Source organism: Homo sapiens, chromosome 2, assembly GCF_000001405.40.
Source record: "Homo sapiens chromosome 2, GRCh38.p14 Primary Assembly".
Taxonomy (NCBI): domain Eukaryota; kingdom Metazoa; phylum Chordata; class Mammalia; order Primates; family Hominidae; genus Homo; species Homo sapiens.
This window is the reverse complement of record NC_000002.12, coordinates 51,277,975-51,291,722: the sequence shown is the minus strand read 5'-3', so window position 1 is coordinate 51,291,722 and position 13,748 is coordinate 51,277,975. Positions and strand designations below refer to the sequence as shown.

Here is a 13,748-nt window from a genome sequence, read left to right as displayed (position 1 = left end):
ATTTCATTTTTTACAATAAAGCTATCTATCAAGATTAAATATTGATAATGTAAAAATAGAAGCATTACCATTCAGTGAAATAAACCAAATAATAATGAATTACAAAAATTATTTGAAGTGTAAGCAACATCTACTTCAAAATATGACAGCACAAATAAAACTAAAGCAATAGGCATCTGCAACCTAAATTATTAAATTGCATATAAAATAAAATGAGGTTTAAATATGCCAAGGATGGCATATGGAACATTTAAAGTGCTAAAGAAAAATAATACACTTGATATTGGTGCTATTTTACCAGATACAAACCAAAACACAGTATTACCACCTAATCTATTTTAAAAGCCCAGAGTCCCGACAGTATACCATGGGTAAGTCAAAATTTTGAAAAGTCATGCCATATGCCTTTAAGTTTTTTAAAAATATTGTAGATTATTTTCTTAAATTGCAATTGTTTTGTGAGAGAGTGTTTTAATATTGGCTAGATTTACATAAAAATGTAGGAATATGATGCACTGGAAAGACCACAGAACATCAAATCTTGTACATTGTTTTCAAGTCACCATTTAAATGGTGACGAAAGTTCAAACTTTAAAGTCACTTAAACTTTTCATGCCTCATTTTTCTTATCTGTAAAACAAAAAATAATTGGTCTAGATAATTTATAAAGTCTCTCCTAGCTCAAAATGTTATTGATAACAACATCACTTTAAGATGACTCAGAAGGACATGCTATTTTATAGAAGATCTAGACACTAAGTCATTGAAATACCTTCCAAACCGGGAAACATGATTCAGAGCCTAAATATGAGGTTTAATACATATTTCTGGATTTTTCTGTAGGGCTTAAATAGTCAGAATTTGTAATTAGTACATTAAAATGCATTAGAAATATTTTCAATAATCCCAACTCTCCAAGCCAGTGGAGATTAGAATTATCTGGGAAGCTTATTAGAAATGCCGATTGATTGTTGAATCTCTGCTTTAGAAATTCTGATTTGGCAAGTGTTTGGAGAAGACAAAGTATTTGCATTTTAACAATTCTCTTCAGGAATTTGAATCCACATAGTACATGGACAAGACCTCAATAAACATTCTGCTAATCTATTGCTAGGTCAGCATCTGTATAAATTTATAAGGGAAGGATATTGAATCATCATAGAACCATCATTTACATTAAATTTTGTTGTAATCTCTATCTGAGTATTGATCTTCACCTGAATCTGAACACGCTAATGCCTTGTGATGAGTCAGGGAAAGAAAATGATAGCTATCATTTCTGAACTTGTCCTTCTGTCCTTACCTAAAATCTAAATCCCCAAAAACATTCTTCTGAGTATCACACAGTGATATGGTGTGGCTCTGTGTCCTCACCCAAATATCATTGCAAATTATAATCTCCACATGTTGAGGAAGGGACCTGGCGCGAGGTCATAAGATCATGGGGGTGGTTTTCCCATTGCTCTTCTCATGATAGTGAGTTCTCACAAGATCTAATGGTTGGAAGATGTTTGACAGTTCCCCCCGCTTGCTATCTATCTCTCCTGCCGCCATGTAAAGAAGGTTCTTGCTTCCCCTTTGCCTTCCACCATGCTTGTAAGTTTCCTGACGCCTCCTCACCGATGTGGAACTGTAAGTTAATTAAAGCTTTTTTTCTTCATAAATTACCCCATCTCAGGTAGTTCTTTATAGCAGTGTGAAAACAGACAAATACACCTAGTTTCTGACCCCATCTGTGTACTAGATCAAATTCTAATTTTTTCTGTGCTGTGTGAGAAAAAGAATCAGGATTTGAGAGTGAATCCTAGCTGCAGGCTAAGTGGTATAAAAATATGCAAATAGAACATGTGTTGTGACCTTTTTCTGGATTCAGGATTGTCGAGTTCTCTTGGACTTGGACAGTGTCACCCATCAGTAATAGCTGTAAGATAAGGTTTTCATATAGAACAGTGACAGAGATGGTGAACAGTTCAAGTCACTGGATCAAGCAGAACATTCCAAAAGTTTTTTATTGAGTATTGTAGAAATAGGAAGCACTGTATGACCTCTGTGGTAGGAAAACTTTGAATTGGCCCCCCAAGATTACCTCTCCTTGATGCACATATATCTTTAGTTAGTTACATAACCAAACATTAACCTAAGTACTGCAGTGAAGATATTGGAAGATGACATTAAGTTTCCAAACCAACTGAGATTAACATGGGAAGATTATCATGGGTAAGTCTGCTCTAATCAAGTGAGCCCTTAAAACAGAAGTGTGGAGGAATTCAACACTGAAGATGAGGTGGCTACATGGCCAGAAAATGCAAGTGGGCTTGAGCAACTGAGAGCACCACTTGACTGTCCATGAAAAAAATGGGTACCTTAGCTTTATAGCTGTAAGGAACTGAATGAGGTTAAAAGAAGACTTTCCTTCAGTCAAGCCTACAGATAAAAACCCAGTCACACTGGGCCCAGACTTCTGACCTACAGAACTTTGAACTATCAAACTTGTGTTGTTTTAAACTGCAAACTGTGGGGTAAAGTTTTACAGAAGAAATACAAAAGTGAATGCACCTGTCATTCAGTGTTCCATCTTGTTATCCCTCAAGGGCTGCAAATTCGTGACAAACTTTCAAGTTACAAGTTTGATATTTCAGTATAAGGTTAGTGATAATTGTCTTTTACCACCCTCTACATTTTTGACATTTTTAACTATCCAGAGTGACTATATTAAATCTCTTTTGGAGTTAATAGTTAATTAACCACAATGGCTTATCATTAGATTACTTATTGGTATTTATTAATTACTTATCTATTTATACGTAAGATTTTACTTAACATTTACAACATCCTAGTGAAAAAAAAATCCCCATCATACTGAAATACTGAGAGGATAAGTGAATTGAGTTTCACAATCTCACAACAAGTTAATGAAAGAATTTGTGTTCAATATATATCTCTTAACTCCAAATTCAAGTCTCTTTGTACTTTTTCACAGCTGGGCACACCCTAGCTCTTTCAGAGCTGGAGTAGCAGAGATATCTTATTGACCTGTTTGAGAAAAGATGATTGAGGAGTAATACATGAGGCTTTTTTCGTGTGCATTGGAAATTTATGTAAAGAAGAAATTCTGAATTTAGTTTGTATTCATTGATAATCTTGGACTTAGTGCAGAAGCTTGCTAACAAAGCAAATTAAAAGAGTTCATTCTTTCATGCCTTCTCACCTCATTCTGTTCTCTGGTTTACTACAACCAACCCCCTACGACAAAATGTAGATACACAGACACAGTAGACTACCCTGATTTTCTCAGGCTTTACTGCCTCAGAATTTACCCTCATGTGTTTTCCAAAAGTGGAAGGAGCCGCACTCCCTCAGCACATCTCAAGTGCTTTACAGTACGATCTTGAAGCAGGGTTAAGCAGAGGGCATTGGACATAGCCCACCAAGGTTTGATCCAGCTCTGAAGCTTAAAATCTCAGAAAACTTTGTCAAGTTATTTAAATTCTCTCTCCTTCATTTTCTTCCTCTAAATAATAGAATGGTAATAATATCTACTGGCTAAAGTTATTAGCAGTATTAAATGATTTAATACATATAAGGCAAAAAACTGACTTGCATGTAATTAATACTAGATATATGTCAGCTATCATCATCATCATTATCTTTATTCATATCTAGAGCTCATGAAAAAGCTTAATCACTTATTTATATGTTTAATGCACTAATCCTTTTAACGCTCTTCAGAGCTTGAAATAGAAATTATTTCAGTTGAAAAGAATGAATCTCTAATACTGTGATTTTACTAACCCATTGAGAACTATCCATGAAGTGGAGGTTATTTTATTTCAACCTCCATCACCTTGTAAGTTTGATAGTATATATGTAAAGTTAAACATAAATTGCAAAGCTATACTTAAATAATCATGTTTATTACAATCTATATTGTGGTTCATATTACTGTGGGGCAGAACTTACTGATATCTTTTGACTCCCACACTACAACTACCTATTTCATCCAGGCCAACCTACCTGGGCAAAATATGTGGACATAATAAGCATGTGATGTACATAACAAGTTCTTATCACTGTATGAACAGGGATTTATTTATAAGTTTGTTAGTATTTACAGAACTAGCAACTTCAAGTTCAAAATAAGGATCAAGTACAGTGACAGTTTCCAATAATTGCACCATGTAATGTGGGAATATGTATAATTACATGCTTGGTATTAGCCAATAAAAGTGCTCTCTAGTCTGGATAGGTCATCCTTGTGGTTTAGTGCATACTTCCTTGTGGAATAGTGGAGAAGGAATATGAAATCCCCTCATAACTAAATCAGATAAATGAAACCTCTTTGTTTTAAAGGCTCTTGTAGCTCCATAATGCTGATAACCACAGAGTTTACACAGGTATAAAGAGGTCCAAAAACATAATGTTCACATTGTGTGTACCAAAGAAAAGGCATACACAGTGGTTTCATTATGACAACAAATTGTTACAGGTAATTATAAATGCTAAATTGGGTGCAAGCTAATACCACAAAACTACCTCATAGATTGGCATAGTATTACATTGATTTAATAATTTCATTTTACTTTGTGTTAGAGACAAAGAAGCCATTGACTTAAAAACATTGTCACTGGAGGCTTTGAGAGATGAAATCCTTTGGATGCATCTCAACTCTATTCATTTTCTCTATTCTAATTGCAGCTATTTTAGTTAAGCATCAAACTTTGCTTTGCATTAAAATCTCCTGGAGGGCTTGTTAATACACAGATCTGTAGTTTCAATTTAGTATGTCTGGGTGGGGTCTGAAAATTTCTATTTCCAGCAAGTTTTTAGATGATGTTAATGCTGTACATTCAGGGACCACACTGAAAAACATTGATTTAGGCCTTCAGCTATCCATCTTCTGATTCTTGCACTAGCCTTGGAAATACTCTACTTCCCTCCAGTGTTTCTTCTTCTACTCCATTCTCTCCACTGCCTTAGACTACCTTTTCTAAAATTCAGTCCAGCAAAACCATTTCCTATTTACACCTTTTGATAATTCCCTCCATTTCCTAAAGGGTAATTTTTAAGCTTCCTACCAAAACACTACTTAACACTCTAATCTTGTTTATTATAACTTTTTCTTTTGGCCTGTGGTATTCAACCAAACTGAATTACCTCTAGTCCTCAGGCATGTCACACTGTCTATTTCCTAGGTTTTCATACATGCTATTCCCTCTCCTAACTCTACTCAACTCCCCAACTCAAGCCCCACCCCCATATCAGAAATGGACTGATATCTATTTGCTATTCAGAACTCAGCTTAGCTATCAATTCTGGAAAGCCTTCGGGGATCATTTCTCCTGTGTATTAGAATGTGCCTCCACTATGTTCCATCAGAACATAAATTGCATATTGCAATTGTCCATCTATCTCAACAAACAGAAAGCTCCTGAGTCCATGATTGAGTTGGTTTGTCTTTTTCCTACCAGTACCCAGTGAGGGTCAGGCACATAGTAGATGTTAAATAAATCTTTGTTTAGTGAGTAAATTAACATTTTGAAAACTATCTCTCTGCTCTGAATTATTCCAAGATTCTTGAGATTTTCTTCAACATCTCAGAATCCCATTTTACCAAAGTAAGTCTTTTATACACTTGTTTTCCTCTATGAGGCTGGCATGCTATCTTTAGTTCTTCCAGTCCGTGCAAGGCTTCAGGAATTCTAATAAGGCCCAGGGTAGACGAGATTTTGAAAGAATTGGGTGGGTGATATAATGTTATGGTGTCAGTGAAATGAGATCTCTCCCTGTTATAAGATGGACTGAGCAAAAAGAACAAACTGCTGAAGATGTGAGGAAAAAACAAAAATGACACAAGTTTATGCAGTCTTCAGAAGCACGTTTCAATGGTCTTCCAAATCTTGAGTACTTTAATTTCTTCATCTGTTGATTAGTCCCTTGAGAAAGTTGCTTTTTTCTACTGAGGAGCTGAGTACCTGTTAAGGTTTAAAAGTACTAGTTGTACTAGTAACTAGTTTACTTATGTCTAAAAGTTGTCCAACAAAATATCCTTTTTTGTTTGTTTGTATTGACTAGTACTTCTGGCTTTCTGACACTTAATTAAAAACAAAGGATATGTAATTTTAGAACTAGAAACAAAGGTCAACTGTTTTAGATGAACATATTCTAAACGAGAACTAACTGAAGGCTTAAAATGGTGTTTTACTGAAAGCTTATGACAAAATCAAATGTGAGTTCACATTTAGAAAACAATCGTGCCTCTGAGTCTAGACAGAGAACAAATAATCACATAAGGTATTACTGTGAAAGAGACATTTGCTTTTATTGCATTTAACTCTGTCTATAAAAGACCAATAGCTCTCCTACTTAAATGTCATGGAAGTAAGCATGTCATTTATTAAGAGAGCCCTTACATGATTCTACCTGCCCACTATGAACATTACCAAACCTTGTGTACAGATTGAAAAATCAGTGTAAACACAATTTTCTAAAGAAAAATGTGATGACATTACATGTGAGAAGTATGAGTCCATGTGACTCACCTGAAGAAGATGAGATATTTTTAGATTTCTAATGGATTGTTCAAGCATTAGGATTGCTATATTCTGAATTTGTTCAAAGGATTTTGCAGGCTCCCCTCTGCATACAAACTGGCTGTGAACTATGAAGCTGTAATATCATACCAGCTTTCACCCTTTATTAATTTTTTTTTTGGTATGAGGTGCCAGATCCTTGTTTACCAAACATCAGCTTCTTTTTGCAAATGGCTTTCTATTATTCTTTATTATATTAATCTTTCTGAATTTTATAGAATACAGAAAATATAAAGTAGAAAAAATAATTATCTTCCTTACTAGACTTTGTAGCTCAAGTAAAAGACATCTAAGTATCTTTTCAGTCATCTAGAAAATTATCAGCATCCAATCTAATTGCCTGAATTTTGAATTTCCAGTATCGTGGCTTCTAAAAGGTTTATGCATACATACGACTCATCCAATTAACTTTATTTTAGAACACGGTATTTTCAAGATGTTCTGAATTTGAATTCCCTAGGTCATCTTGACTTGGTGTTTTTTTCTGTCCTAAATCTTTGTCAGTAGGAGAAAAAACTTTGGTAATAAAAATAAAATACAATAAAATAAGTCTTTTGATAGTAGCAGGTTTAAAAAGGATTAAAAGGTTTTTATTGGAATCTCTATTCATTAGCTGCATTAGGAGAAGACACTAAAAAAATCGATGTTTGACTTTTACTTTAACCTTAAAATGTCATTAAATTCCACACATGAAAAGGTTGATGCAAACACCCTTTTTACTTAATTGACAACACTTCCATTCTCTGTAGCATTTTGTAAAAGAAAGGAAACCTACGTGAAAGGTGTAAGAAAGGTCAAAATGCAACTTCAAATATTTATTGTTTAGATGGGAGGTCTTTATGGGTGCAGACAGATTCAATAATTAATTTTTCCACTTTCTCTATTAAACTTATCATTATTTTTCCAGGACATTCACATGAATACTTCTCTAGATTAAGCTGCATAATTCATATTCGGGCATTAAGACACAGCACTGCCATTAATGGTTACCCGGTAACCTTTTACCTGTTCTTATCACCACACTACCAATGAGGAAGAGGGGATAATATTTGTCTTGTGTTGTCTTTGTTCTTAATATGTTTTATCATCACAGTTGTTCATCATTGTTATACTAGGCAGACAGTTAAATAATGCAGAAGAGAAACTTAGTTTGTGAACAGAGTATTGACTAAAATTAATCACATTTCCATGCTTAGTAAAGGATACAACTTAATCCTTATAGCTGTGAAAAAATAAATTCAACCTTTAGAGGTGTCTACTAAAAAAGAATTCAATACTCCACTTCCCATTGATAACACGTGACTGCTGCTGAGCAAATAGCCACTAAGTTCAATCTTTGTCTTCGTAGTGTTAGATTGTAGGGCAATTTTAAAATTTCAATAGGGCATTTTTGAAATCTAACTCAAAAAGGTTTGTTGGCAACATATTGCAAGGACACGTTTATATTCTAAAAATACACTTCCCTATTTTTTTGTTGGAATGTCAGAAGATAGACTATGATACCGAGTTCCCTTTTCAATGTGCTAAAAGCTAAATTTTGCCATTTACCAAATCTGCAAATATCCTGCGAAACTGTAGTTGGCATTTGTAACAGCGTTTTTCTGCTTGCCAAATTCGTGAACATGTAAGACATTTTATACCTTGTAAGAATGCATAGATAAAAGAAGACAGATTTTTTTTCCCAAAGTCTGTGATGTCCTCTGAGAGTATGAAAAGCTTGAAATGGAAGACAGGAATAAAAATCATGGGGTTTGTGATCAGGCAGTTCTGGTTTCAAAACCTCCCTCTATTGTTTTTTGTAAACCTTGCCAAGTTATTTAGTCCTCTAAACGTTGGTTATCTCACCTGTAGAAGGGTAAAAATGTTCTCCTCAAAAGTGATGAGGATTACTAGAAATAATTGTGTGAATATTACAACATGCAATACACACCACAAAATCCCAACTGGTAATAATAGATGCCCAATAAATAATGAGTTTGTGTATAATACCTAATAGTCACACTAATATGAAAATATTTGTTAAGTTGAAAAGATATACTGTTAGACAAATGGATATAGAACAGATCATTTTGATGGCAGCGGAGAAAGAAGATTACTAGGCCCCTTGATAGGACTTGGTAGACAGCTTGAAGGTATGGGATATTTGCAGAGAGGCTCTGACAAAAGGTGAAGGATAATTGAAAGATATGAAAGGGAGACTATACATGTTTTTATTTTGCCTCTTGTAAGAGCAACAATATCTATAAGCAAAAAGTATAAAACAGGGACTCGTTTTTTTATTAGTTCATAGTAAAAGAATCTTCTGCAGAATGTTTTCAATGAAAAATAAGGGCTGCAGAGTGGTTTTATGTCATGGGAAGTTGATAAAGATGGCTGTGGTATCTAGAATAGAGAATTTGATAGGCTTAAAATCTAGCCCTCACTGCAGGTAGGGAATAATAACAGGGAAGCCCCACAGAAACTAAAAACTATTACCAGAGATTGTCTACTTGCTTTTTCTTATGTTGTTGGATGGTACTTAAATATGCAAACTCCGCTCATAATTTAGTCCTAAATCTCTCTTTTCCTCTGAAAATACACATTGGGAAAACACAGTGGAAATGGGTTATTAATCAGTGTATTTCATTCTTTCAGGTCTTTCTTTATCCCAGGTTACTTATTAAAAAATAGAATTGTTGTGGGCAACCCAATATCTGGCTATGTCAGAAGAGTGTGCAACATCGCCTCCTGACCGAAGTTAATTGAAGTAAATTCCTTAAACACACTAGAAATTTAGAAAGCTAATTGTGGTAGGTAACAGAAAGAGAGAAAAAGAAAGCTCATTGAAATTCACAGGTTGTCAATACATACCACGGGAGATGAACAAAAGAGGAGAGGGCAGAGTAGCCCAGCTATCACTTTATATTACTTGCAACAAATAAATCAATTAAATATTTTTAAAATCAGTAATCACCATATTTCTTTCATTCTCTAATGCCAAACATTTTGCTTTTCTAAGCTGACTGTTCCATTGTTAGCTGAATTGGAAGTTTTAGTTAAATTGTAATTTGTTTTTATGTAATATATTGTAATCCTTTTGGAAGATTAAAATCAATTCATTTGATTTGTAGATTAGGTAAATACAAAAGCAGATGAAAACAGAAGAAATTATCCATATTCCATTGCCAAGAGTTATAACAACTGTTAATATAGATTAAAATGATTTAAAAGATACAGAAACCAAATTCAATTAATATTTTAAAAAGAAAAATAAGAGGAAAGAGAGGAGGCAGTAGATGAGATGTACACACTAGTAAGGGAAATGTGAACACTTACTGTTTCTGTGAGGCTACTAAAGACTTTATTTTGATTCCTGAGTGGAATTAATGGTATTTTGGTTATAGTTTAAAAGTAGGATCTATGTCTAAAAAAGGAAATACTGAATTTTACAGATGAAATGATATGATGTTTGGATTATTCTTGAAGATAACCCAGTGGCAGAAAGAAGTGGATGAGGTATAAAAGAAATATGATTGGTAATGAATTAATATTTATAGAGCCTGATAACATCCTGAATATCAGATTGCTTTTCAAAAGAGTTCTACTAGTTTACACCACCATCAGCTGAACTCATTTCAGAAGGCACACCCCCACCAGCAGGCAGTATTCTCATTTTTATAAATCCTCTTGAAATTTTCTGCATTTGATTTACCACACCCCACTCATCATAGCTAACCAAGCAAGTGCCAGGTTTGAAACCTTAGATTGAGGGAAGGGAAGAAAAGTATGGGTAACAAAGAAAAAAATTTTTGAAATCTCTATGGTTATAGAAAATATAAATTGGAACAGGATGAGAAGCTGGTACATCTCTGTGAGGTTTGAGTCTAGAATCTAAAGCATTGATATGCAGGGCCTTCAACATATGTTTGTAAAAATTGACAATTGCGGCCGGGCGCGGTGGCTCACGCCTGTAATCCCAGCACTTTGGGAGGCCAAGGCGGGTGGATCGTGAGGTCAGGAGATCGAGACCATCCTGGCTAACAAGGTGAAACCCCGTCTCTACTAAAAATACAAAAATTAGCCGGGCGCGGTGGCAGGCGCCTGTAGTCCCAGCTACTCGGGAGGCTGAGGCAGGAGAATGGCGTGAACCCGGGAAGCGGAGCTTGCAGTGAGCCGAGATTGCACCACTGCAGTCCGCAGTCCGGCCTGGGCGACAGAGCGAGACTCCGTCTCAAAAAAAAAAAAAAAAAAAAAAAAAAAAAAAAAAAAAATTGACAATTGCACAGTCCTATTATGTTTCAATCTTGTACTTTGCAATTTGTAGTTTTTAGGCTGAGAAGGGACAATGTGATAACTGTATTTTTTTGTTTTCCAGGACATTCTTTTTCAATATTCAACAACTTATAATCAAATTCCTCAGCACTTTCATATACTATTTGGCCTTGTCTGATGTTCACAAGCTAGTAAATTGCATGATATGCTAAAAAATAATTAAATTTCTTTGACAATAAGCGATCCCATTTTATTAAATATCTTACAATGGAAACAGTATTAAGGAGAGAAACTTATATTCATAGATATGAGGCATTTTTATCAGCATCCACAAAAGTATCACAAAGTCTGAAAAGTAATTTAGATTTCTTTTCACATTAGAAAATTTTTGTATGATTATGTGAAGTCTTATAAATATTTGTTGTATTTTTTAGAGAATAATTAACATATAGGTGAAGTGACTTGAAAGGTGAAATATTTTATATTATGTTAAGAAAATCCTTTTCAAAGTAACTTGTTACTTTTTATTTTGTGGCACACACCATCCTGGTTGTGGTTACAAACTGGCAGATATTCTCTATTTAAACTCACTCCATCCATGATGCTAAATTAACTATCATGTGAGCACATACAAAGAAAATGAATAGATTTAACTTTTATAAAAAGTGTGATTATCTCTATCAAAATGGAACCTTAGGAAATACTTGTAAATATCAAACTAATTTAACATTAGGGGGAAAACTTCCCTACAGGTAAAGTTTTGTTTACCTTGATAGTAAGGAGACTGTGTTAGACAGCCACTTGTCTTAATTGATTTAGCTGGAATCATAGCAAAAACACTTGGAGAGGAAAAAGAAAGTGAATCCTGTATCATTTAGATAATGTTCCTTTACCAGCATCATATATATGGCATTAGTTACAGAAGCATTGGATTATTAACATTGTCAGAATGTAATACCCATCCCACCACCTTTCACATCACTAAACAAATTCGGAAAGATGAAATTCTGATATGAGATAGGGTTAGAGCAAAACCTAGAATTCAAAGGTCAACATATTCCATATGATACTCTTTCCATGACATCTGGCTGAAGTAAATTGGTATTTCTTACATTAATACTAATGACTATAGTTCAGATTAAGAAAGTGTGTAGACATTGTCAAAATACTATGCTAGTTTATGGTTCATAACTATTACACAGAAAGACATTTGAAATTGGCCCATGCCTATGTCCTGAATGGAATTGCCTAGATTTTCTTCTAGGGTTTTTATGGTTTTGAGTTTTACATTTAAATCCATCTTGAGTTAATGTTTTATAAGGTGTAAGGAAGGGGTCCAGTTTCAGTTTTCCACATATGGCTAGCCAGTTTTCCCAGCACCATTTATTAAATAGGGAATCTTTTTCCTATTGCTTATTTTTGTCAGGTTTGTCGAAGATCAGACAGTTGTAGATGTGTGGTGTTATTTCTGAGGTCTCTGTTTTGTTCCAGTGGTCTATATACCTGTTTTGGTACTACCATTATGCTGTTTTGGTTACTGTAGCCTTGAAGTATAGTTTGAAGTCAGGTAGCGTGATGCCTCCAGCTTTATTCTTTTTTGCTTAGGATTGTCTTGGATATATGGGCTCTTTTTTGGTTCCATATGAAATTTAAAGTAGTTTTTTTTCTAATTCTGCAAAGAAAGTCACGGTAGCTTGATGGGAATAGCATTGAATCTATAAATTACTTTGGGCATTATGGCCATTTTCATGATATTAATTCTTCCTATCCCATAAGCATGGGATGTTTTTCCATTTGTTTGTGTCCTCTCTTATTTCCTTCAGCAGTGGTTTATAGTTCTCCTTGAAGAGGTCCTTCATGTCCCTTGTAAGTCATACTGCTAGGTATTTTATTCTCTTTATAGCAACTGTTAATGTGAGTCCACCCATGATTTGGCTCTCTGCTTGTCTATTGTTGGTGTATAGGAATGCTTGTGATTTTCGCACATTGATTTTGGATCCTGAGACTTTGCTGAAGTTGCTTATCAGCGTAAGGAGATTTGGGGCTGAGATGACAGGGTGTGCTAAATATACAATATGTCAACAATTTGACTTCTTCTAAATATACAATCATGTCGACAATTTGACTTCCTCTCTTCCTATTTGAATACGCTTTGTTTCTTTATCTTGCCTGATTGCCCTGGCCAGAATTGGAAGACATTTAATTCCCTCTGTGACACAAAATGAAGGTATAATAGACAAACAGAAGTCTTCCAGGCTCTAAAGACACAACAGCAAACAGACAAGTTTTCTGCCATCAAGAAGCTTATATTCCACTGAAGACCAGATAAGAAATCAATGCACATTTTCGCTGGGCATGGTAGGTTGCCGGGCACGGTGGCTCACGCCTGTAATCCCAGCACTTTGGGAGGCCGAGGTGGTGTTCAAGACCAGTTTGTCCAACACGGTGAGACCCTGTCTCTACTAAAAATACAAAAATTAGCTGGGCGTAGTGGCCAGCGCCTGTAATCCCAGCTACTCAGGAGGCTGAGGCAGGAGAATCGCTTGAAACCAGGAGGCAGAGGCTGCAGTGGGCTGAGGTCATGCCATTGCACTCCAGCCTGTGCAGCAGAGCAAGATTCCATCTCAAAACAAAAACAAAAACAAATCAATGCACATGTAAACAAGAAAAAATAGATAAATACTATATAGAGAATTAAAACAGAAAATATGATAGTGACTAGATGACTACCTTGCATTTGATGACAAGAGAAGGCCCCTGTGCAACCTTGTCTTTGAACTCAGGGTGATAAGAAGGTGCCATAAAGATCTGAGAAAGAGAATTCCAGGTAGAAGAAATAATTATTTCAAGCCCCACTGGCATACAATGGTTGAAGACTGGAGTATACGGAAGGGTATCCTCTGATGT

At 35.1% G+C, this 13,748-nt stretch overlaps 1 long non-coding RNA gene across 1 annotated transcript in view; it reads right to left on the bottom strand.

The window, feature by feature from the left end:
- The window catches only part of NRXN1-DT (NRXN1 divergent transcript), a 1,375,317-nt gene that overhangs the window by 1,116,195 nt on the left and 245,374 nt on the right, over positions 1-13,748 (bottom strand). The window lies entirely within an intron of this gene.